The 23,001-nt window shown below is 37.4% G+C and overlaps 2 non-coding genes and 1 pseudogene across 2 annotated transcripts, besides 2 other annotated features; all 3 read left to right on the forward strand.

Moving 5' to 3' along the window:
- Positions 3,839-3,918: a silencer, noted in NCBI's record as "silent region_17017". NCBI's record gives its function as "represses an Ori minimal core promoter by ATAC-STARR-seq in GM12878 lymphoblastoid cells {active_cell/tissue: GM12878}" and the evidence as "EXISTENCE:reporter gene assay evidence [ECO:0000049][PMID:35858748]".
- On the forward strand, positions 8,375-9,299 carry VN1R11P (vomeronasal 1 receptor 11, pseudogene; annotated as a pseudogene).
- Positions 16,825-16,896, forward strand: TRP-CGG2-1 (tRNA-Pro (anticodon CGG) 2-1). The gene has a single exon. It is a non-coding gene; the product is annotated as a tRNA-Pro (tRNA).
- Positions 16,973-17,022: a silencer, noted in NCBI's record as "silent region_17018". NCBI's record gives its function as "represses an Ori minimal core promoter by ATAC-STARR-seq in GM12878 lymphoblastoid cells {active_cell/tissue: GM12878}" and the evidence as "EXISTENCE:reporter gene assay evidence [ECO:0000049][PMID:35858748]".
- TRS-GCT1-1 (tRNA-Ser (anticodon GCT) 1-1) lies at positions 22,389-22,470 on the forward strand. The gene has a single exon. It is a non-coding gene; the product is annotated as a tRNA-Ser (tRNA).
- The last annotated feature ends 531 nt before the right edge of the window (positions 22,471-23,001 follow it).

A 23,001-nucleotide genomic window follows, 5' to 3' on the forward strand; every position in this document is an offset into this window, starting at 1 on the left:
TTTTTCTTCTACTAATCTATATATTTATCTATTCTTTGTGTGCTTACTATCAAAATTTTATTATTAATAGTTAACTTTACAAAGTGTAAAGTTAATCTACTTTATAACATATTCCAAGCATTAACATATGTTTACACACACATATTTTGAGACAGGATCTTTCTCTGTCACCCAGGCTGGAGTGCAGTGGTGCTATCAGGATTCACTGCAACCTTGACCTCCTTGACTTAAATGATCCTAATTTTTTTTAGGCTAGTTTTAGACCACCTGGCTAATTAAAAAAAACTGGTAGAGACAAGATCTCACCATGTTGCCCAGGCTGATCTCAAACTCCTGGGCTTAAGTGATCCTCCTGCCTCAGCTTCCCAAAGTCCTGCTATTGTAGCCATCATTCCCAGCTACAATATTTTTAAATAGCTTAAATCTAATTACTGTCATCTGTTAAACTATTCTTATCTGTTATTTTAGTTCTGGCTTTTTTCAACCCCCAAAACTCGACATCATTATTATTATTATTATTATTATTATTATTATTATTATTATTATTATTTTATACAGGCAATATTTGCTTAGGCTTATATGTTTCCCGATTTTTTTTTTTCATTTTTTTCTTACAGCTTATCCCTTCTAGGGTTATGTTTTTGTTGTTCAAGTACAAACTTAAAGATTCTATAGTAAAGTTTCTTAGTGGCAATATTGCTCTGCTTTCCCTCACCCTTAAACTGTATTTTATCCTCATTATTGAAAGACAAATTTACTACGATGGTTTGAGTGTATCCTCCAAAAGTTCACATGTTGGAACCTTAATTCCCTAAAGTGGAAGGATTGGGAAATAGGGCCTGGTGGAAGGTATTTGGGTTATCTCTGCCCTCATGAAGAGATTCATGCAGTTCTGGCTAACTGGGTTAGTTCTCATGAGAGTGAGTTGTTATAAAACCAGTCAGCCTGCTTCTTTTTCCCTCTTTCATCCACATTCTCTTGTCGTGTTGCTTTTTCACCATGTCGTGATGCAGAACAAAAACCCTTGCCAGAAGCCAGTCCCATGACCTTGGACTTCCCAGCCTCCAGAATAAACTTCTTTTCTTTACAAATTACCCGGTCTAAGGTATTCTGTTATAGCAACAGAAAATGAACCAAGACATTTCTTTGTATAAACTTTTGAGTTGACATGTTTCTCTCAACAGTTTGAAGATACACTTTTTCTCAGATTGGACTTTCACTTTGTGGTTTCAAAAACCTATGGCAATCTGAATGTTATTTCTTCAGCAATCTTTTTTTCTCTTTCCTGTTGCTTTAAAAATCTTCCTTTAGTCTTTAGTATTGTTAATTGCACTACAGTGTGTCCGGTGAGATCACTTTCTATTTGATCTGCTTGGAATATGTTGTGCTTTCTGTGTATGTGAAGTCATATCTTTCCTTTGTTTGGAGAAATTATCAGCCATTATCTTTGTAAATATTGCCTCTTCCTATCCTGCAAGTTCTAAGTGTTTTAAAAATGTTTTCCATTGTTTTCACATCTGTGCTACTTTCTAGATAATACCTTCCATTTTATCTCTTTTTTTAATTTTCTGGACTATTTTTAGAGTTCTACATTTACAAAAAAATTGATCAGAAAGTACGAGAGTTCCCATATACGTCCTTATAGTGTGATATATTTGCAACAGTTGATGAGACAATATTGATGCATTTTTATTAACTAAAGTTCATAGTTACATTAGTGTTCACTTTTTGTGTTGTACATTATAAAGGTCTTGACAAATATACAATGATCATTACAGGATCATACTGAATAGTTTTATAACCCTAGAAGTCCTCTGTGTTCTACCTGTTCATCCTTCTCTTCTTCCTGCCATCCTAGATCCTGGCAACCACTGATCTTTCCACTATCCTTATAGTTTAGCATTTTCCAAAATGTCATATAGTTGGAATCATATAGTATGCAGCCTTTTCAGACTAGCTTCTTTCACTTAACAATATGCATTTAAGTTTCCCCGTGTTTTCTGTGTCTTCATGCCTCATTTCCTTTTATTGATGAATAGTATTCCACTGTATGGATATACCACCGTTTGTTTATCCATTCACCTGAAACGATATTGGAAACCCATGAACAGCCAACAGGCTTTACGAATGTCTATAGTCTACCACACCTGTTTCTTGTTTTAAAAAATTGAAATAGGCCGGGCATGGTGGCTCACGCCTCTAATCCCAGCACTTTGGGAGGCTGAGGAGGGTGGATCACCTGAGGCCAGGAGTTCAAGACCAACCCGACCAACATGGAGAAACCCCATTTCTACTAAAAATACAAAATTAGCAGGGCATGTTGGCTCATGCCTGTAATTCCAGCTATTCAGGAGGCTGAGGCAGTAGAATCGCTTGAACCTGGGAAGTGGAGCTTGCGGTGAGCCGAGATTGCACCATTGCACTCCAGCCTGGGCAACGAGAGTGAAACTCCATCTCAAAAAAAAAAACGAAAAAAAAATTGAAATAATTTAAAAAGTTTTAGTAGTCCCTAACTCTACTATCTTTTCTTTCTCCTCAGTCATATTCACTCTCTCCCCAATTCGGTTTTCTAATTTTACTACTTTTCTCCCCCATTCAGAGTTTTCTAGTATTACTACTTATGGAAATATTAAAAATAATAAATAGTGTTGTTTTACAGGATTTAATGTATTCAATGAATGGTATCTTACTAAGCAATTCACATTTTTGGCCAAATATTTTTTCTTGAAATTATTAACATAACATTTGTCATGGTTGTTGATGTTTTAATCATAATTACCCCAGGGTTTATTTCTTAAAAGCAGAATATTCTTTTACGTGGCTACAGTGCAATGATTAAAATCAGGAAATTAATATTAATACAATGGTACTATTCACTTGATAGAACATGTTTAGATTCAACAATTGTCCCAGTGATACAATTTATGGTAAAAGATAATCCAAGGTCACATGGTACATTAATATGCAGTTGTCATCTCTCTGTAGCTTCCTTCATCCAGTAAAAGTTCCTGAGTCTTTCTTTGTATTTTATGATGTTGTTGTCATAAAAGCTTGAGACATTTCTACAATGTGCTTCAATTTGAGTTTTTCTGATTTTTCCTTGTAATTAGATTCAGGGTGACCCCTTTGGCAGGAATACGGTAGAATTTATTATGAGTTCTCAGCGCATGATGTCAAGGCTCACGTGCTGTTGGTGTGTTTCATCCCAGGCAGTGTTAGCTGCCATCACTTGGTGTCTACTGGTATCTATTTGGTGTTCAGTGTAATGTTACTGTTTTACTCTTTGTCATTAGTAAATCTTTGGGGAAGACACTTTGAGGCAATATTGATATCCTGCTCACCTAAACTTCCACCTATTAGTTTTAGCACCCATTGATGATTCCTTCCTGAAGAAATTATTATTATGATAGTCATCGAGTGGTGATATTCTAATTTCATTATTTCTTTTACATTTACTAGTTGCTTTTTCATTGAAAGTTAGGTCTTTTCCTTCTCCCTCATTTATTCATTTTAATTGTGGACTAATGGATTCTTGTAGTATCCAATAGGTAACAATCATTTAAAATCATTATTCAGTTTGATTCTCAAATTTTCTCAAATTTGGCTGGAGGGAGTCCCTTCAAGCTGGCTCCCTATTTGACAGATTCTCACCATTCTTTGAGCTCATTCTTACTTTTTGACACAACAAGATTCTCTAGGCTCATCTTGCATCTTGTTTTCAATGTCATTTTACATAAGAAAAAGTATAGCAATGGAGAGGCCAAGTAATTCATCAAATATTGCCCATCCAATGTAACCCAGCCAGAAATCATTAAAGTTCACATGTAAACCCCGAAACTGTTGAGACAGCCGAGTAAAAAGGGCTCCCCAGAGAACCTCCGACCCACCTGTGCACTGGGAAAAGGGGGTGGAGCCACGAAGTTAGCGTGGTTTGCAGAGGGGAGGAGCCCAGCCTCTTGTGTTCCTGTGTGGTGGGGCAGGAGCAGGTTAACAGGCCTCCCTCTCACTCTGCTGAAAGTATTTCTTTTTCCTTTTTCGCGCAATAAATTCCATTTTTCTCACCCTTCTATGCATCCTCAAGCCTAATCTTTCCTGGTTATGTGACAAGAACCCGGTTTTTAGCTGAACTAAGGAGAAAGTCCTACAACACTGCCACCATGTGGCAATTACTCCAAATAGAAGGAGAGGCTGAAGGACACACAACCAGGATGCAGAGAAAAAGATGGAGACAGAGTCTGTGCAAGATGGGATTGATACTGAGACTGGGTTAGCCACCTCTCCTAGACAGTGAAACAGATCGCAAGAGAGGCTGACCCAGAAAGACACATGCAAAACAATGGGCAATAGAACACATGACCTGAATTAGATTATCTGGGTTCAAATCCTGATTTTGCTATTCATTATCTGTGTATCACTGGGCAATTTACTCAATCTCTCTGTGCCTGAATATCCTCATTCAAAATCAGGGATGAAAAGAGTACTTATCTCAAAGGGCTATTTGCTCACTTATTGCACAAGTAATTTGGCATCTGATATGAACCAGGTGCACCTCTAGATGAGGATACTGTCACATTGAATGAAGACCAGTGACCAGAAGCCTGCCTCACAGCCCAGCTCAGTGAGAAAAATAATTCCATTCTCACCTCTAATCTCAACCCTGTGTCACCATTTATGTATAGTCCTTTGCATTAGTGTCTGGAAAGGTCATTTTTTGAGGGCAGAATGAATAACCTATAGAAGGATCATTCTTGGGTATAATGAATTAAAGAAGTATTATGAAGCTTTATAAGGCAGGATTAGCTCATAAAAATGGAGGGTTCTTTTGCTTTTCCAGTCCCATTTGTTGTTTCACAGACAAAGAATAAAACAATCACTGATGGCAAAGACTGCAAACTGCCAACGTTCATCGGTAGAGCAAGGTGACGCTCGTCCTGTCCAGGCCTGTGGTTGGGATAAGCTCAGAAAGCAGAGTCTCCAGGGCTGGTCATCATCTATCATAACCCTGCGTATAAAGAAAGCCTTGAGAAAGAAAAGAAGTGACTTATTATGTGTCTTCTGACCTGGTTCTCATTTTTATTCAAAACATTAGAACCTTGGGAAGATGAAGAGAGGGCCAGAAAAATGGGAAACCCTGGATACAGAAACTTGGCTAGCTGTTTACTTTTTCACTGTACATCTTTCTATTGCAATAGTTAAACCCCAATTAAGACTGAAATAACTCCTGAGGCAAACAAACGTAATTGTGGAGACAGAGGGGAAAATGTACTTCAGGGACTAGGATCCTGCAGAGGGTTTCCGTCTTCCTGACAGAAAAACAACTTTGAAAATTTGAGTCCTGGTAATAGTTTGTTAACCAAGAACTCTACAAATCCAGAAGGCACAAACATGGCTTGGGGAGCCTTACCTTGCCAGAAGGACTAACCCAGAGCTTTACTACACCATAGCTACCAAGGTGAGTAGACCTGACAATTCTTTTATTTATTCACATATGCCATATAATATTTCCCTCAGAAGTATGCATCTTGCTTTGTTCTTTGACTAAGCAAGGGAGTTTATGTGAGCCAGAGGACCTTGACTCTGCATCTAATCTTTACCTGGGGTCATAAACATGAAGGGGACCATTTCCAGAAGATGACCCTAGAAATGCTTGAGCATCTTTGTCCCAGTGTTCAGGATCTTGTACTGTAAGAGAGGTCCGGGGTGGTTCTTCCTATAAGGTTCCCTCTTTGGTTTCATCCAAAAATCACAAAGATAAAAAAGCTTTTCAGGTTTCTAGAAAAAACTCATTTTTAGGCTTACATTTTCACCTGCATTATAACTCTATCAGCATTATTAGCTTTCATCAAATTTCTTCATATCGTTTTTGGTGCATTTCTGTGATTTGCAAGTGGGCCAACTTTGTCTTTACCTATTAAGTAGTTAATTCATTAAGAAAGAGATAGAGAGAGTGTGTGTGTATATCTTGAAGGTTTTCTTTCTGCATCCATCCTTAAAGTCTCCTAATCCAATATATAATATTGTATCATATACAGAAGTCAACTTCATTAACCATATGCCAGTTTAATGGAAGCATCTATTAACAATCATTATGATTAAAAATCATACTTGCTCTTCAGAAATTTTCCACTTTTATTTTTGGCCAGGCTATAAGTAAGTATAACCTGATGTAACCCTGTAAATTTACCCTGGCATTATGTAGCAGGGAGCACTAATCTCATTTTCAGTTGAGAAAACTGGAGCTGAAATGGGTGCACTTCCTTACCTGCCTAAGCTATTAGGTATTAGAACTGGATGGAGCACTACACATCTATCTGAATGTGAAGCATGTTTTTTCAAATAGTTTTCAATCATGATTCCAAAAACAACTTGGAAGACCAGTCACCCTTCCTTCCTCTGATATTTTTCTTATTATTCAGTCAAAAAAATGGAAGTGTCTTATTAGTATTACAGAAGCTAATCTCTAATCTGAATCAGAGCTTTGGAACCTTGGGAAGATGAAGAGAGGGCCAGAAAACTGTGAAACCCTAGAAAAAGATAAGAAGAAACAAACATAAAAATATTTGATAAGGACATCAGGGTGGTGAAGTGTATGCAGGACATTCATTTTTGACAAATTCCAGGTTTCTGACTAAATATGTAACCAGTTCTTACTCCAAACCTATTAGTCCATACTGCTCTTCTTGTTATTAAAGCCTGTAGTTCATTTCACTATAGGCTATCCAGTTCAGATCATGTAATGCTTTGTTTAATGCATTGATATAGATGTTAGTCTCTTCATTTGGCACTGGAGGAAACTGAGGCAGAAAAGCAATAACTAATATTCCAAAAGTTATAAAGTTTCCTGGTATAAGACCTGAGTACAAGCCTAAATTCAGGCAGTTCACACTGCCAGGGACCTTTAAGACAAATTAAGATAAATCTAAGGCATCTCTTAGTGATTAGTAGAAAATGAAAGGGGACAAGGCTTATAGAAAGGTTAGATCAAACATCCTGGTTTCTTTTGTTTTGGGGGATTTATTTGTAGTTTGATGTAAGTTCTGGAAAAGAAGTGAGATTGGAGAGGTTGATTGTGAAAGAGTAAAATCCTGTTCAGACAAAAAGAGTAAAAATTAGCTTGGACTGGTAAAGATCAAAGTAGCTCTCCTGTTACCAATGTTGGGAGAACAGACACAGGTAGATCTGGTTACAGAGTCAACTGGACTCACTGGTTACACAGCAGTTGTAAACTGCCATAATTGCACCATTTGAGTGATGACTCTTTTCTTACCAATGTAGCCCCAACCTGCCTTGTATATCCAGACATCAGAGATCTCTAATTTATAAACTGCCTTCATCTCGTGACAGTATGCAATAGCTAATTAATCTACCTCTCCTAATGGCCCTTGAGAAACATCAACACATCAACAACTCCGCTTAGGGGCCCCTCAGATCCATCAGTGGGAACTCAGACCTCTCCTAAATGCCCTTGTAGAGTGACATTCTATGGTTCCTCTAGAGCACCTTCTCTGGCTACATCCAGTCCATGTATCTCATTGTTTTTCAGCAACAGGCTTGTTCCTGAAGGTCTTTGGCTGATTAACCATTAACATTTGAGGTCCTACAGTGAAATGCTATGCAGTTTGACTTTATATGGAGTACTTGGAAAACCCACTGAAAACTTGTAAGTACTGAAATTACAGATTCAGTTCGGGGTCTTGAAAGACAACTCAGAAATATTAAGGAATATAAATCAAAGATATGAAAATAAGAAGAGATAAACCAGAAATTGTTATACTAATCAAAATGATAGACATATAGGCATAATGAATAAAAGAAGTATCACAGAAGATAAAACATTGTTAAACTTGAGAAATGTTAAAGATGTTGAAACAACATGATTTTATGAGTGTCTGTCTGTTGAATGTGGAAGAGGTAGAGGGGTTAAGGGTGAGCACCAGGTTTTTGAAATTGGCTGATAGGAATATTAAGAATAAGTAGAAAATGGAGACATTCAGGTTGGGGGAATTGTTTTAGTTCAATTCAGCATATGCTGAGACTTAAAATATGTGGGATATATCAGAATTTGAACAAGCAAGTTGGTCTTGCAGCTATGGAGATCAGGAAAACAAAATCTGTTTCCCAAATTTAGATTTTTGTATCCTCTTCCAAGATGACATTTAAGGTCACATGGTATGTTCATCAAAGAGTGTCACAGGGAAAGGACTACAGTTCTTTGGACAAAAATCTGCTCTGTTACATATATTATGATTTCCTTTATCCACTAGAAATGTGCTATGATATGATTTTTTTGCAGATACATATATATCATCATAACTGGTACTTTCTTCATACAGTGTTTCCTTGATCTAAATATTTTCTGCCCATGAAGTTAGAAATGGCTTTGAATATTATCAAGGGAACAATATTCCTGTTTCTAACTGGACTTGGCATTGTGGGGAATGTTTTGGTTTTGGTAAACTATATGTGCATTTTCTTTTGGGGGACTGAGAAGAAGTCTTTACACTTTATTCTTATTCACTTAGCTTTTACAAATATCATACTTCTATTTTCCAAAGGAATGCCCAAGACAATAGCAGCTTTTGGTTTGAAAAACTTCCTAGATGATACAGGCTGTAAAATTGTTGCTTATCTGGAGAGGGTGGCTCGAGGCCTTTCCATCTGCACCAGCAGTCTCCTCACTGTGGTCCAGGCCATCACCATCAGTCCCAGAGCCTGCATGAGGGGGAGGCTCAAGCTGAGGTCTGCATGACAAGTCCTTCCCTTGTTTCTCTTTTTTTTGGACATTCAGTTCCTTGATAACCATAAACTTACTTCATTCCATCACAAATAGCAACATGAACAGATCACAAATTAGTGAAAAGGATAACTACTGTTATTTTCTAGCAGGGAGATCGGTAATAAGACGGATTTTTCTCACACTGATAGTCTTGCAAGATGCCCTGTTTCAGGGTCTAATGGGCTGGGCCAGCAGCTACATAGTATTTCTTCTCCACCAGCATCACAAGCATGTTCTTCACATTCAGAACTCCAAATTTCTGTACAAAACTCCCCCTGAGATAAGAGCTGCTCAAAGTGTTCTCCTTCTGATGATCTGTTTTGTTTTCTTTTATTGGATAGATTGTATTATTTCTTTATATTTAACTTTATCCTTAGAGAATAATTTCATAATATCAAATATTCAAGAATGTTTAACCCTTGGTTATGCAACTCTCAGCCCTTTTGTGCTGATTCACAGAGATAGATGTGTGGCTGAATGTTGGCAAGTTCAGTAAGACTTCAGAAAATGTCTGTTTTATTGATCTCTTCAGTAAGCAAGTTTGAAATAAACTTGCTAGTTTTGCTGTGCTGTGTATTTTTTAAAATAAGAAGAATTGCTTAAACATATAAGGATAAATTCTCATACAACAAACCTGGTGACCAGCAGCTCCGATCTAATGCAAGAGATCACAGAAATCCTAGAGAGACTCAGCGATCTTATTCTCTATCCTTCCACCCTTCAAAAAGCAGCTGAAATTCTGTGTATTTATGATGGCTCTTTCACCACCAGGCTTCCAGGAGTAAAAAACAGTAGAACAATCTGGTAAAATCTATCAAAATTACTGGTGCAGTCACCTTTTGACTCAGGAATTCCATGTCTAGGGCCTAATCCTTCAGATATACTTGCGCATTTAAGAATTGGAGTAGGAAAAATACACATTATGATACATTATTTTAAAAATACAACAAAATATCTAGCAAAAGGAATTATTTTTGGCTATTTAAAGATATTGATATGTATCCATTCATACAAAGGGATTTTATGGTACTTATGAAGAAGTGGATGAGTTCAAAATATATTGACACGGAATGATACGCAAAGGTTTTTTTTTTTCAATTAAAACAAAAGCAATGTGAAAGCTGTAGCATTCAAAAAGCAATATAATAATATAATTAATTTGGAATTATCTACATCATGAACTCCTGCAAGAATAAAAAAAAAACTATAAGAATTATTCCTGATTGAAGAGAAACTAAGTAAATGGAGGCATAGTAAATCAAATTTTATTTTATATATTTCTCTGTTTTCTGATTTGTTAAACATGTAAATGTATCTCTCTTCAATATATAAATAAATTAAGTTAGATAGCAATTTATGACTTGTTTCTAGACATCATTTTTTAGTGCCTTGGCACTCCCACAATGTTATCAGTCTAGTCTCTCTATTATCAGAGTTAAAAAATAATCTGGTTCTGCATTAATTTAAATGAATAACTTGGTTTCAATTTTTCTTAAACTGGAACCAAAATACATATTTGGATAGAATGTATAGTTCTGGCAGTAAGGGATCTCATCAAGCCATTTGGAAAAATACTTGATAAAATAAAAATGAAGTGAAAACTTTATAGATAACAAGAGACTTAAGAGACATTTCAAAAGAACACATGTTCAATCTTACTGAGGTCTTCTTTACTTGTTTTTATTTGGTCTAGTTTTCTTGACCAAATAAACTAAAGTAAAAGTTAACAATTTTTGAATAAATGTATAAGTAAATGAACATCTGATTACTAAACAAGCTGTAATAAATAAGTGAGAAAAATGATTCCTGATTATAGTGCTCATTATATCAAGCACAAGGAAATGAAAGCAAAGGAAACCAGAGGAGAGGAAATAGTATTGGGCAAGAAATTGAAATAAGTGTACTGTATTGAAAGTGAATGAAAATTTTAAGTAGGAGCAATTAGCTGCTTTGGAAAGATTGGCAAGAAATATTTAACTGGTCCATGGCAGCTTCTATAATCAACATTTAATAACTGATTAAACTGATTGAACCATCATAACCAACCACCATTCATTTTCCCCGTTTTTGCTCAAAATGGATACATAAGAAGATCATAATGCATGAAAGGTGAAATAGTGCAGAAAGCAAAAGGCATATGAAACTCTGAAAACCAGAAATTAATGTAAATAAAGAGGTTGGAACTTGTAAGGTAGGGGACACAAGTTTGTGATGCCAGGTTCATTAATGTATGACTCCATTCTTCTTTTCAAGTATTTTAAGTCCTGAAGATATCCTTAAAGTGCATTTGGTAGGTGGGATTCTTCCCTTTTTACTTCTCAATTTCTATCACACTCTTCTGGAAGATACAACACAGTATATTGGAGATAAAGGAAAACTACATTTATTTCTTGAAGGATAAGCAAAATAAAAAATCAAGAAAAGGTCGGGCGCGGTAGCCCACGCCTGTAATCCCAGTACTTTGGGAGGCCAAGGCAGGCAGATCACGAGGTCAGGAGATCAAGACCATCTGGCCAACATGGTGAAATGCCGTCTCTACTAAAAATACAAAAATTAGTCAGGCATAGTGGCGGGTGCCTGTAATCCCAGCTACTTGGGAGGCTGAGGCAGGAGAATCGCTTGAACCTGGGAGGTGGAGGCTGCAGTGAGCTGAGATCGCGCCACTCCACTCCAGCCTGGGTGACAGAGAGAGACTTCATCTCAAAAAAAAAAAAAAAAAAAGAAAAGAAAAGAAAATACAAGAAATACAGAGTGAGAGAGAGGATGAAAGGAAACCACTGCCTGCCTCAGAGTTTTCTCCGGTTGTAGTTATTACCAGTCTCAAAGAATTCATGATTCATTCAGTGATGGAAGCATTTCAAGCCTGTAATTTGGGTGCCTGCTTTCACTAACTCAGGGACTTGAACACAAAATTCTCAGTTTAAAATGCAGATGTACTCTTGACCAAGCTATGCAAACTGTAAAGTATCTTTTAACTAAAAGATAAGAGGATTTTGATCTGCTACCTGAGTCCTTTTATGTTCTCTTGAAGATGATTTTTGACATCCTCTGATCACACACAAAACATCAGCCTTTAATATACATATTACCAATTTTATACTATTAAAATATACATTCCAGATTTGTTGAACAAAAGAGTTTTGGTGCATGTTGCTATGTGGATGAAATGCAAGATCTTGTTATGACCTTGTGATCCTTGAATAAGCTCAACATTCAGTGGTCTGAAACCATGCCAAAGACCTTGGTGATCCCACCACCCTCCCTGAGTCTGTCATTCCCACTTCCATACCACTGTTGAGGCAAAGTTCAGAGGATCTCATAATTAGCAAAATAGCAGCTTTCATAAAAAGAACTTTCTTCAGCCCTATCCCAGCCACATATGGGGTGTAATAAAGTCCTGTCAATCCAGTGGCCAAAGTGTAACTTGTCATTTTTTTATATCATGATACATGTGTCAAAGGGCATGAATTTCTGACCTTGATTATCATATCTTCATGATAATATTTCAAGACACGCACACATACACACACACTCCCCTCAAAAATGAGAGATTTGAGTTGGCAAAATATTATTGGAGGAGTCCAGAGAACTTACTTTGAAGCTGTGTCTGCCTATCAATCACACTGGTTAACTTAGATTTTAGTTTTATTTATAATGCCTCGGAAAAGCTGATGGAGATTTTGAGGAAGGGATAGAAAAGCAAATTCCACTTGTTGTCTTCTTGGTTTTTTAATTGTAGCTCTGCCTTGGTTGGTCAGTATGCTGTATCTGTTGGTGGTTCAGTGTCTTTATCTCTGAAACGGAATACAGAATAACAGCATTATCTGTTTTAAGGCTATTGTGAGAAGTAAAAAGGTAGGTGCCTTTAAAATAGTACATAGTAGATACTAAGTGTGAGAAAACAAAAGACTTTTGTTTCTTATAATTGTGTACTCAATTAGCAAACATTTGCTATGTTGCTTGACATTTTGTATAGGCTACACTGAAGAGAGAGTGTCCTAAAAGAATGATTTCCTTTAAAATCTGCCTCTTGTGGGCCGGGCGCGGTGGCTCACACCTGTAATCCCAGCACTTTGGGAGGCCAAGGCGGGTGGATGACCTGAGGTCGGGAGTTCGAGACCAGCCTGGCCAAACATGGTGAAACCCCGTCTCTACTATAAATACAAAAACATTAGCAGGATGTAGTGGCAGATGCCTGTAATCCCAGCTACTCGGGAGGCTGAGGCAGGAGAATCGCTTGAACCTGGGAGGTGGAGGTTGCACTGAGCCCAGATCGCACCAGTGCACTCCAGCCTGGGCAAAAAGAGTGAGACTCTGTCTCAAAAAAAAGAAAAAAAAAATCTGCCTCTTGTACACTGCAATTACATGTGCTTTAATTCTGTGTTACCAATCACTTTGTTATTTATGTTCATAATGATTCCATTTTCTAGCACTTCATTAGCTCATGAAAACTTCATGACAGGCACACAAGTGTTGGTGATCCAGCTGGAAGAATCAACACAATTATGTGAGCCACATTCCTGCAAAGTGTGCATTTTACTTTACTTTTGTCTTTCATATTGTCATCATCATCATCCTCATCACCCCACCACCATGACCATCATCACCATCATCTCACCACAATCATCATCATGACCATCTTTATCAATATAATTTCTCTATTGAGCAACATTGTTCAACTTCCAACTGTCAGTCAATTGGTTGGAGGCCTGTGGCCAGACTTACAATAAAGATCCTGGACTGGCCCATTTCCTTAGTCCTCTCTCAACTGAATAAAAATTCAGGTGAATAGAAATGTCACCTGAAGAGAAACCTTATGAGAACTTCAGCAAGTAGAGAACCTCCCAAACTATAAAGATTTGGGAGGCAGTTTACACTGCTTGACTAAAAAGATGGGCTTCCAAGAGGAGATTTTTTAAAGTGTCATATCTTTGAGGGATTCAGTATTTGGTTTTAGTGGAATATAGAGACTTCAGAGTCATAAAACAGACACAGTCATAACGATTTGGGATGCAACTCTGTTTCAGGAGATCTTATACTGATATAAATATCTATTTTTAATTAAACTTTGTATTACATCTGTTTAAGATGTATAAAATAATTTTTGATATACATAGTGAAATGGTTACTATAGTCAAGCAAATTAACATATTCATTATCTCACAGTTATCCTTTGTGTCTCTATGTTAAAATTATCCAAAATCCACTCCTAGCGAATTTCCAGCATATACTACAATATTATCACTATTGTCCTCATGTTGTACAGTAGATCTGTATACTTATTCATATCAGATATCTACAGCTTTTTACCCTTTGGCCTATATCTCTTCATTTCCTCCTCTACTCTTCCACTCCGGATAATTATCTCTCTACTCTGTTTCTGTGTATTTGAGATTTTTGTTTGTTTTTGTTTTTTAGATTGCATATATAAGTAAGATCATGTAGTATTTTGTTTTCTATGCCTGGCTTATTTAGCTTAGCATAATGTCCTCCAGTTTCATCCATGTTGTTGCAAACGGCAGTACCTCCTTTTTTAAGGCTGGATAGTATTTCATTATATATATTCATATCACATTATACCACATTTATATATATATATATATACACACACACACACACACACGCACACACACACTATAATATGTATTATAATTTTTTTAATTTTTTTTTTTTGAGATGGAATCTTACTCTGTTGTCCAGGCTGGAGTGCAGTGGTGCGATCTTGGCTCACTGTGACCTCCGCCCCTAGAGTTCAAGCAATTCTCCTGCCTCAGCCTACTGAGTAGCTGGATTTACAGGCATGCGCTACCATGCCTGGCTAATTTTTGTGAGAGATGGAGTTTTTAGTAGAGACGGGGTTTTGCCATATTGGCCAGGCTAGTCTTGAATTCCTGACCTCAAGTGATCTGCCCACCTCGGCCTCCCAAAGTGCTGGGATTACAGGCATGAGCCACCGCACCCAGATGTATAATATATATATTATATATACACATTTTTATGCACACGCTTCTGCGTGCACACACACACACATACATCAGACAATTTTTTTCTCCATTCATCTACTGAGGAACATGGAAATGCAGATACCTCTACCAGGTGCTGATTTTATTTTCTTTGGGTATATATCCAACAGAGAAATTGCTGGGTAATTTGATATATGTATATATGTGTGTGGGTTTATGTGTATGTGTGTATGTTTGTATATGTATATAGAAATTTGGTGAATGAATCTTGTCATTTGTTGGGAAATTTTATATCCATTGTTCTAAGTTGTCTTCTGTAACTATATCTTTAAGCCACATTTTCTATTTTCCAAGAAATTTGAGTTTATGAATATATTCATATTTGCTAATGTAACTAAGCATGTTATTATGCATGATCTACATGGCCTAGACAAGGACAATAAACATCTCTGTAAAATGACTGGAATATAAGTCCTACGTGGGTCCCCTGATGTGTGTAATGATGCTGATGTTTAGTAATCTTTAAATAATGACCTTTCTCTGGAGTCTGAGTTCCCACTGGTATAAAAGTAAATGAACTATTTATTATCCTTAGAAAAGTTGGATTTGGGAAGGGAAATGTATATTATACTACAAAAATGAAGAGAGAACGAGGGTTTGGGGTTGAGAGTGTGGGTCTGTATATAAAGTATGTGATCCCATTACCATTGTGTTGAGTTCAGAAATTAGTAAACTAATCTATTCAGTTGATTTCAAGATGAACAGAAGTGCTCTAAGTTGTGTGTCAAAGAACAGGTTCTCTGGGAAATTGTTGGGTTCAGGACAAATAATTATTTTCCACACTGAAATATTTAACCTTTGATTTAACATCTCAATATAGTCCTATGTCCCAGCTCCATCTATGCATGAACATGAGATGCTATTTCTTGAGGAGAAAAACATATTTTCATGGAAGTGGAATGTTGAGTCTGAACCATAATCACTTCTAAGTTTTAGGGCAGTTAGGAATGATTACTACTCCTAGGTGTGTGTTTCAGAGGAGTTAGTCAAGATTTTTTAGGTTTTCATAGTACAAAGAAAGCAGTCGGATTGCAATAAGAATCTCACTATTCTAATATTAGTAAGGTGGGCAGGAGTTAGAGGAATGCCTAGTAGCCTCATAATTATTTTGATCCGCTCAGTAAATCCATGTCAAAATTCAAATTAAGTACTAGTTTAAATCTACTCTCCCTTTCAGAAAATATTGATTTCTCTTCACACATATTCAAGATAATCCTTATTTTGATTTGTCCTTGCAAGAGAGTTTCATTTTTAGTAAATAAACAGGTACTCTATAATAATTATTGGATAATTGAAAGAATGAACTGAATGAGATCTTTTAAATTTTTGAAGGTATCAAATTCGGGACAGCAAAATGAAATTGAAAATATGTATTAATTCAAAACATAAATTTTAACATGAATGTAAAATGTGGCTTAGATGTATCAGCTAATGATCTGTTGTAAAAACTTTCTTTGCATTTAACCGAAAGTTTTTGTAACTTTCTTAAATCTGTATGTAGGAAGAAGTTAGTAAACTAACCAAATACATCTTGGTACTCCTGAAAAGTTGACCTTAAGAAATCTCTTATAAGTAGAATTTTGCTGAGATTAGGAATATTCTTTCTGAAAAACTTCTGGTAGCGAAAATATTCCTTGTTAGAGCAAATCATCTAGAAGTCCCTCAGTAACAGTAATATCCAACTTTCAAAAAGGGTAGAAGTGAGATAAGGAAACTTGAAAACTCAAATTTTTCTAAAATATTTTAATTGAAAGCTAAAAATGGAAAAAATGAGTTAAATTACTTAGAGTAGTATAGCAAAGTAGAATAAAGGAGAAATGTTTCTACAGGTGACAAGTTTTACCATAGTATGGTAATTTAAGCTACCAGCAGACCATCCACAGAAATAGCCTTTCCAACCCTTTCATTTATGTAAATGATTGATGGAGTGATAAATATTATTTGGTAACAAATTCTTTGAGGAATAAAAATAAATAATTTGGGAATAAATCCTACAGTAAATATAAGCAAAAGCCATTTCTAAGTGGCTCGTTGGTCTAGGGGTATGATTCTCGCTTCGGGTGTGAGAGGTCCCGGGTTCAAATCCCGGACGAGCCCACTTCATTTTCGCCCAATAAGGTTTAAGGATATTTAAAGTATTTCCCCAAATAGTCATACCCAAAAATATGTACTTTCACCACATCAACAGTAGAATTGTCTAAGCAGGCGAGTACTGAATCCGGACTTCTTCTAAGGGCAGACACCGGAATGTTGATGCGGCTGCAGCTGCGCTCTCCCACCTCTGTCTGTCTCTTCTCAAACCCCGAAAGGAAGACCGTGGGCAGCTCGTGCGCGCGTGCGTGTGCGTGTTTAACCGAGTGCTGGAGGGGAAACGTGAGTTGCAGTCAACCGGTTATCTTCCTCTTATAGGAAGGAGGATTTTAATTTACACTTTTAACTCCAGCTTCGGTGATTACTCTCTGACTCCTAGTGTTTACTACTCCCGCCACACTGGAAAGTAAAAGTCTCCCCAAGTGCTGCTGGTGCCACTGCTCCCACTGCAGTCGACTGTTAGGGTGTCACACTCCTGCCTCTCCTGCTTTCCCCGGTCAGAGTTCATTCCTTTATTTCTTCAACGGATGCATAGCCAATGAGTATGACATGTCACCCTTCAGTGCTGAAAGCTGTGGAGGCAGTGACGGAAAAACATGGTTTTATTTCTACAGAACTTAATATTACAAGTAATTAATTATTTACCATGATGACGCGTTTTGAGAAAGTATGGAATTCCCATGGAAGTATATAGCACCAGGGCTGACTATTGACTCTTGGGAATATTGCTAGCCCAGGTTCGTCTAACTGGAGAGAGAGACCACGAGGAGCAGTCATTAAGGCTGGAATTTCAAAGTTTTTCTCATCCCATGCTCTGGAAATTTGCGGGTACTTTGTTGAAAACACTCAGGAGAATTGATTAACACTGGAATTCGAAACAGGGAAAAAATGGAGAGGAAGATATCAATCCAGTTATTTTGCTCATGCTGTCTAAATTAAAATATTTCCTCAGAATAACTGTTTTGTTTGCTTTTGTGGCCAAGACTGAAAGTGGACACCCACTCCCCGACCCCAATTTCGTTCTAGCTTCATGGACCTCACAGAGGCTCAGCTCGCTCTGCTCATCTTGGTATTCTGAAAGTGTGGATCTTTTTACCTTTCCTTTTTCTGACCAACTTTAAGGGCCACTGAGTATGAAGATGCACATCCTTATTCATAGGTGGGGTGTAATATATTGTCTCTTTTTATAAATAAAATATAAGTGTATAATTTATTTGTAAATTAATGTGTATAATTTATTTGTAATTTAATTTTATAACTTGGAATAGTGTTACTTATTAAGTTTGAAATTCAAAAGGAACTTCCTCTGACCTCTGTTCATTAAGAATTTTCTCTGAATGCAGAAAGTCAGTGTGATGTCATCTAGGCAGAAGAGATTGAATGACCCTTCTCAACAAGGAATTTTACTATCCTAAGAGGGATAAGTTGGACATTTTGACATGTAAAAGTCTGATAGTAAATGACACAGGCAGTCCATTCTAAAATGGTTCCCAGAGTCAATAAATTGGACTCATGGTCTTAGTTTCCAGTTATTTTTAGGGCTTAATTATAATTATGGACCAGCAATCAAAGATCACTAGGCATCATTAGACACTGAAGTTAGTGTCCAATCTGAGAAACAGTGATTTTTTAAAAGCTATTTTAAGAAAGGGAGAGAAAGAATGCTGTACAAAAGGATAACTCTATAGAAGTCTCTTGAAATTAAAATTATGAGAGTAGAAAGAAAAAACTTAATAGAACAATTAACATAAAACCTGAAGGGCATCTCCAAAATGTGGAGTAAAAATATAAGGGGAAACTCCAGCAATTGTGATTCTTGATATATACTCAAATGAGTTGAAAAACCATATCCACACAAAAACCTTCACATCAATGTTTATAGCAGCTTTATTTGGATTTGCTAAAACATAAACAATCAAGATGTACTTCAATAGGTGAATGGATATATTTAATGCAAACTATGGCACAATGGATGGACTATTAATTCATGATAAAAAGAAAGGAGCTATCAAGACAGGAAAAGACATGGAGGAATCTTAAAAGCATACTGCTAAGTGAAAGAAGCCAATCTGAAAAGGCCACATACTGTATATATGATTCCAACTATATAACGTAGTGAAAAAGGTAAAAATATGTAAACAGCAAAAAAGAGCAGTCATTGCTAAGAGGGAGGGAGGGAGGGAAGGATGAAGAGGCGAAGCACAGGGAATGTTTAGAGTGGAGATACTATTATACATGATACAGTAATGATGGACACATGCCATTATACATTTATCAAAGAGGAAAGAGTTACAACATAATCCATAAGAGTTACAACAAAGAAAGTGAACCTAAAGTAAACTACAAATTTTAGTTAATATTAATGTATCAATATTGGTTCATCAGTTGTAACAAATGGACCACAATCGTATAAGATTTAATAATAAGAGAAGCTATAGGAAGGATAGGAGATATATGGGAACTCTTTGTACTTTCTCTTCAATTTTTCTGTAAATAAAAAACTGCCTAAAAATGTCTATTAATTTTTTAAAAGTAAAAAGAATGTAACCAGGAAAGAGCAGTAAAAACAAAACAAAAGGTAGAGGAAACATACTGGAGATTTAAAATCCAAGTAAAGGAAGGGAAGGAAGGAAGGAAGGAAGGGAGGGAGGGAGGAGAGGGAGGGAGGGAGAGAAAGAGAGAGAAAGAAAGAAAAAGAAAAAGGAACAAAAGAAAAGAAAAGAAAATTAGCCGAGTGTGGTGGCACACGCCTGTAGTCCCAGCTACTTGGGAGGCTGAGGCAGAGAATCACCTGAACCCAAGAGGCAGAGGTTGCAGTGAGCTGAGATTGCTCCACTCCACTCCAGCCTGGGCAAGAGAACAAGACTCTGTCTCAAAAAAAAAAAAAAAAAAAAAAAAAAAAAGGGCAGAGAACACAGAAATCAGAAAACTAGCAACAACGAAAAACAAGCTAATATCCCTAACCGAAATACAGGATTTAATGATGTAATAGAGTTCCCAAAACAAGGAATGGAAACAGAAACACACTAAAGCATATCTTTCAGACATTGCAGAACATTGAGGACAAGGAAATTATCCTGAAATAGATAAATAAAAGCTAACTGCAAATGTAGACTCCATAATTAGAATGACTTTGTACTTCTCAAAATGAATACTGGAAGCTAGAAGAAAATAGAGAACTCTCTCAAAATCCTGAAATAAATTTCAAAAGCCTGAAAAATATTTCCCAGACAAACATTCAATCAAGTTGCTGGAGAAGTATTGAAAAGTCTCATCGACCACGGTGAAACCCCGTCTCTACTAAAAATACAAAAAAAATTAGCCGGGCCTGGTGGCGGGCGCCTGTAGTCCCAGCTACTCGGGAGGCTGAGGCAGGAGAATGGCGTGAACCCGGGAGCCGGGGCTTGCAGTGAGCCGAGATCGCGCCACTGCACTCCAGCCTGAGCAACAGAGCAAGACTCCGTCTTAAATTAAAAAAAAAAAAAAAAAAAGTCTCATCTACAATGAACTCTTTCTCAGGAAGCTGCTTTACAATGTACTCCACCAAAATGTGAAGGTATAGTAAGACAGAAAATACATGAGAAATTGGGCATACAGCACCAGTGGCAGGGAAATAAAATGTATAGTACAATGGTGAAGGAAGACATCACGATGAAAACCCCATATCAAGTTTAGAAATCACTCAGTTTATTGTTTTGGCAAGGCTTTTATGGTTATTTGTGATATTTTTTTCTAAAAATAATGTTCAGGAAACAAAATAGGAAAGATAGGTAAATAATATTGCCAAACATAATTATATAAAGGGTGATTACTTATTCAATAAAAATTCTGATATAACTATATTTGAAGGAAAAATTGATCAGAAGAGTGTCTGTGGAGGTGTTTACGGTGAGGAAGAGAAGTGAATCTTCTATTTGTGTAATGGGAAATCAATGGAAAATACTAAGCTTAAAATTAATATGTAGCATATGTATTAGAGTACAATTTTGTCTCTGTAACAAAGACCCAAAAGAACCATAGCTTAAAAGAAGCATTACTGATCTCTCCTGTGACTGTCTGAGGGTGTAATCAATGCCAGGGTGATGCTTTGGCTTCATGGTGTTGGTTCCAGTCTTCTATGTCATGGCTCCTTCCTTCCTACAGTGTGCTGGGTCCAATCACTATTCCATGAAGCCTTCATTCTCAAAAGCAGATACATGAGGAAGAGATAAATAGAGGTTATTTCCTTCTCTTATGGACATAACCTGGAAGTTTTACATACATTTTCTCTCTTATGCCTTTACTTAGAAATTGGTCACGTGATGACGCTGACTGTCAAGGGAAGTCACTGTAATCTTTTCATGGGTGGCTATGAGCTCAGCTAATTTTCCATTTCTTGGAAAAAACAAAAATAATGATTGGACAACTAGCCATCTTTGCCATAGCATGATGACATGCAGGTAAAAACAACACAAAACGCCAAATGGCTGAAAATGTTTGCCTCTACTAAGAGGAATAAGATAGGAGAGACCACTGTTTCGCATACACATATTTTTTGAAGTAATTGAGCTTTTAAAACATGTATGGTTAACTTTGATTAAAAATTTTGTTAATAATAATTTTAAAAAGCTTTAAGAACCAAAGTATGGATAAATAATTCAGCCAGGCTAAAGTGAGAAAGGGAAAGAGCGTTCCATGAGGGAAAATCACTTGTTGGAAGAGGAAAACTAGATCTGTCTTGAGGCAAAAACCCAAATGGGACTGAGCATGGAAAACAACGGGTAAGGAAGTGGGTTGAGTTGAGGTTGAAGATTTCAGGCAGGTCAACGCAGCAAACACTGCAATATAAGGGCTCTTCCAAGGAAAAAAAAAGCGGATGATTCTTTGTGAATTCACAGAAACTAGCAAAGGTGGTATTCACTCAAGATGTTAGTGCAATCTAACGTAAAATATCCTGACATTGAGAGTGTGAAAATACAGCAGGGGTCCATTCCTGCAGGATTTCCCCTATGTTCCCTGTTGTTTAGCCTGTGATTGATTTGCGTGGGCTTCTGAAGAGAAACCGACTCCGGTGTGAACGGTTTTGGGAACCTCGGTCTCCTGCTGGCTCCCAGGTGCGCTATCCGACGCAGCGAGACGCGGTGAGCCTACAGAAGGGCTGACCAGGCTCACCTGACGCCCCAGGTCGACAGCAAACCCCGTGCGCCCCGTTGGCCCGGTCACGCCCGCAGCCTGCTCAGGCGCCTCCTGCCTCGGGACCAGGAAGCGGAAGAAAGGGAGAGACCGGCCCGGCAATTACGTTTCTATCATGTCTTGAACATTTGTGTGAGTCCCACGAAAGCTAAGCCCGTTTATTCCCCCTCGAAGCGTTTCCACTCAGTTCTTGATCATTCATGTGAAAACGAGCCATCTCCACGTCTCCCAAACGTCTTCAAACCGTTTCCTAAGTCTTGTAAGGCCGCCTGTGGGTTCCTATTACAAACTCTGAAATAAAATACTCGGGAAACGTGGGTTATCAAGACGAGGTGGCCGAGTGGTTAAGGCGATGGACTGCTAATCCATTGTGCTCTGCACGCGTGGGTTCGAATCCCACCCTCGTCGGGGGAGGTCTTTTAATACGAAGAGGAGGAAACAACACCCAAGTCCAGCCAACTTCCCTTTCAACTCTCCTGGAATTCAGGTCCCTGGCGTTGGAGAGGAAAAAGGAGCTCTTGTAATTTTGTATCATCAGTATAACGATGGTGTTGCTGGGTTTTTTAACTTTATGGTTGATGGGGTATTGATTGTCAATATTGTGCGCGTGATCAGTTTAATGAGTACTCTTCTGGTGGGCTTTCTACCTGATGACTGCAAAAACGCCTTCGAGCCTGAGAAAGGGGAGAGGGCAATAGAGAGGAGAGGAAGGTGACGGTGGGGCTAGAAAGAGAGAGAGATGAAGCTGCCAAAAAGGGGGAAAAACTTGAGGTGTGGTTATCCCAGCCGCTTCTTTTAGAAATCATTACTACTGTGAACATTAAAATAAATTCATCAAAAAGATAAGCAGAAAAAAACAAAAACAAAACAGCACGACAAATACACCAACACAGAAATTCAATTACTTAGATTCTCAAGACAAATCGAGGGACCAACATT

This window comes from Homo sapiens, chromosome 6 (assembly GCF_000001405.40).
Source record: "Homo sapiens chromosome 6, GRCh38.p14 Primary Assembly".
NCBI lineage: Eukaryota > Metazoa > Chordata > Mammalia > Primates > Hominidae > Homo > Homo sapiens.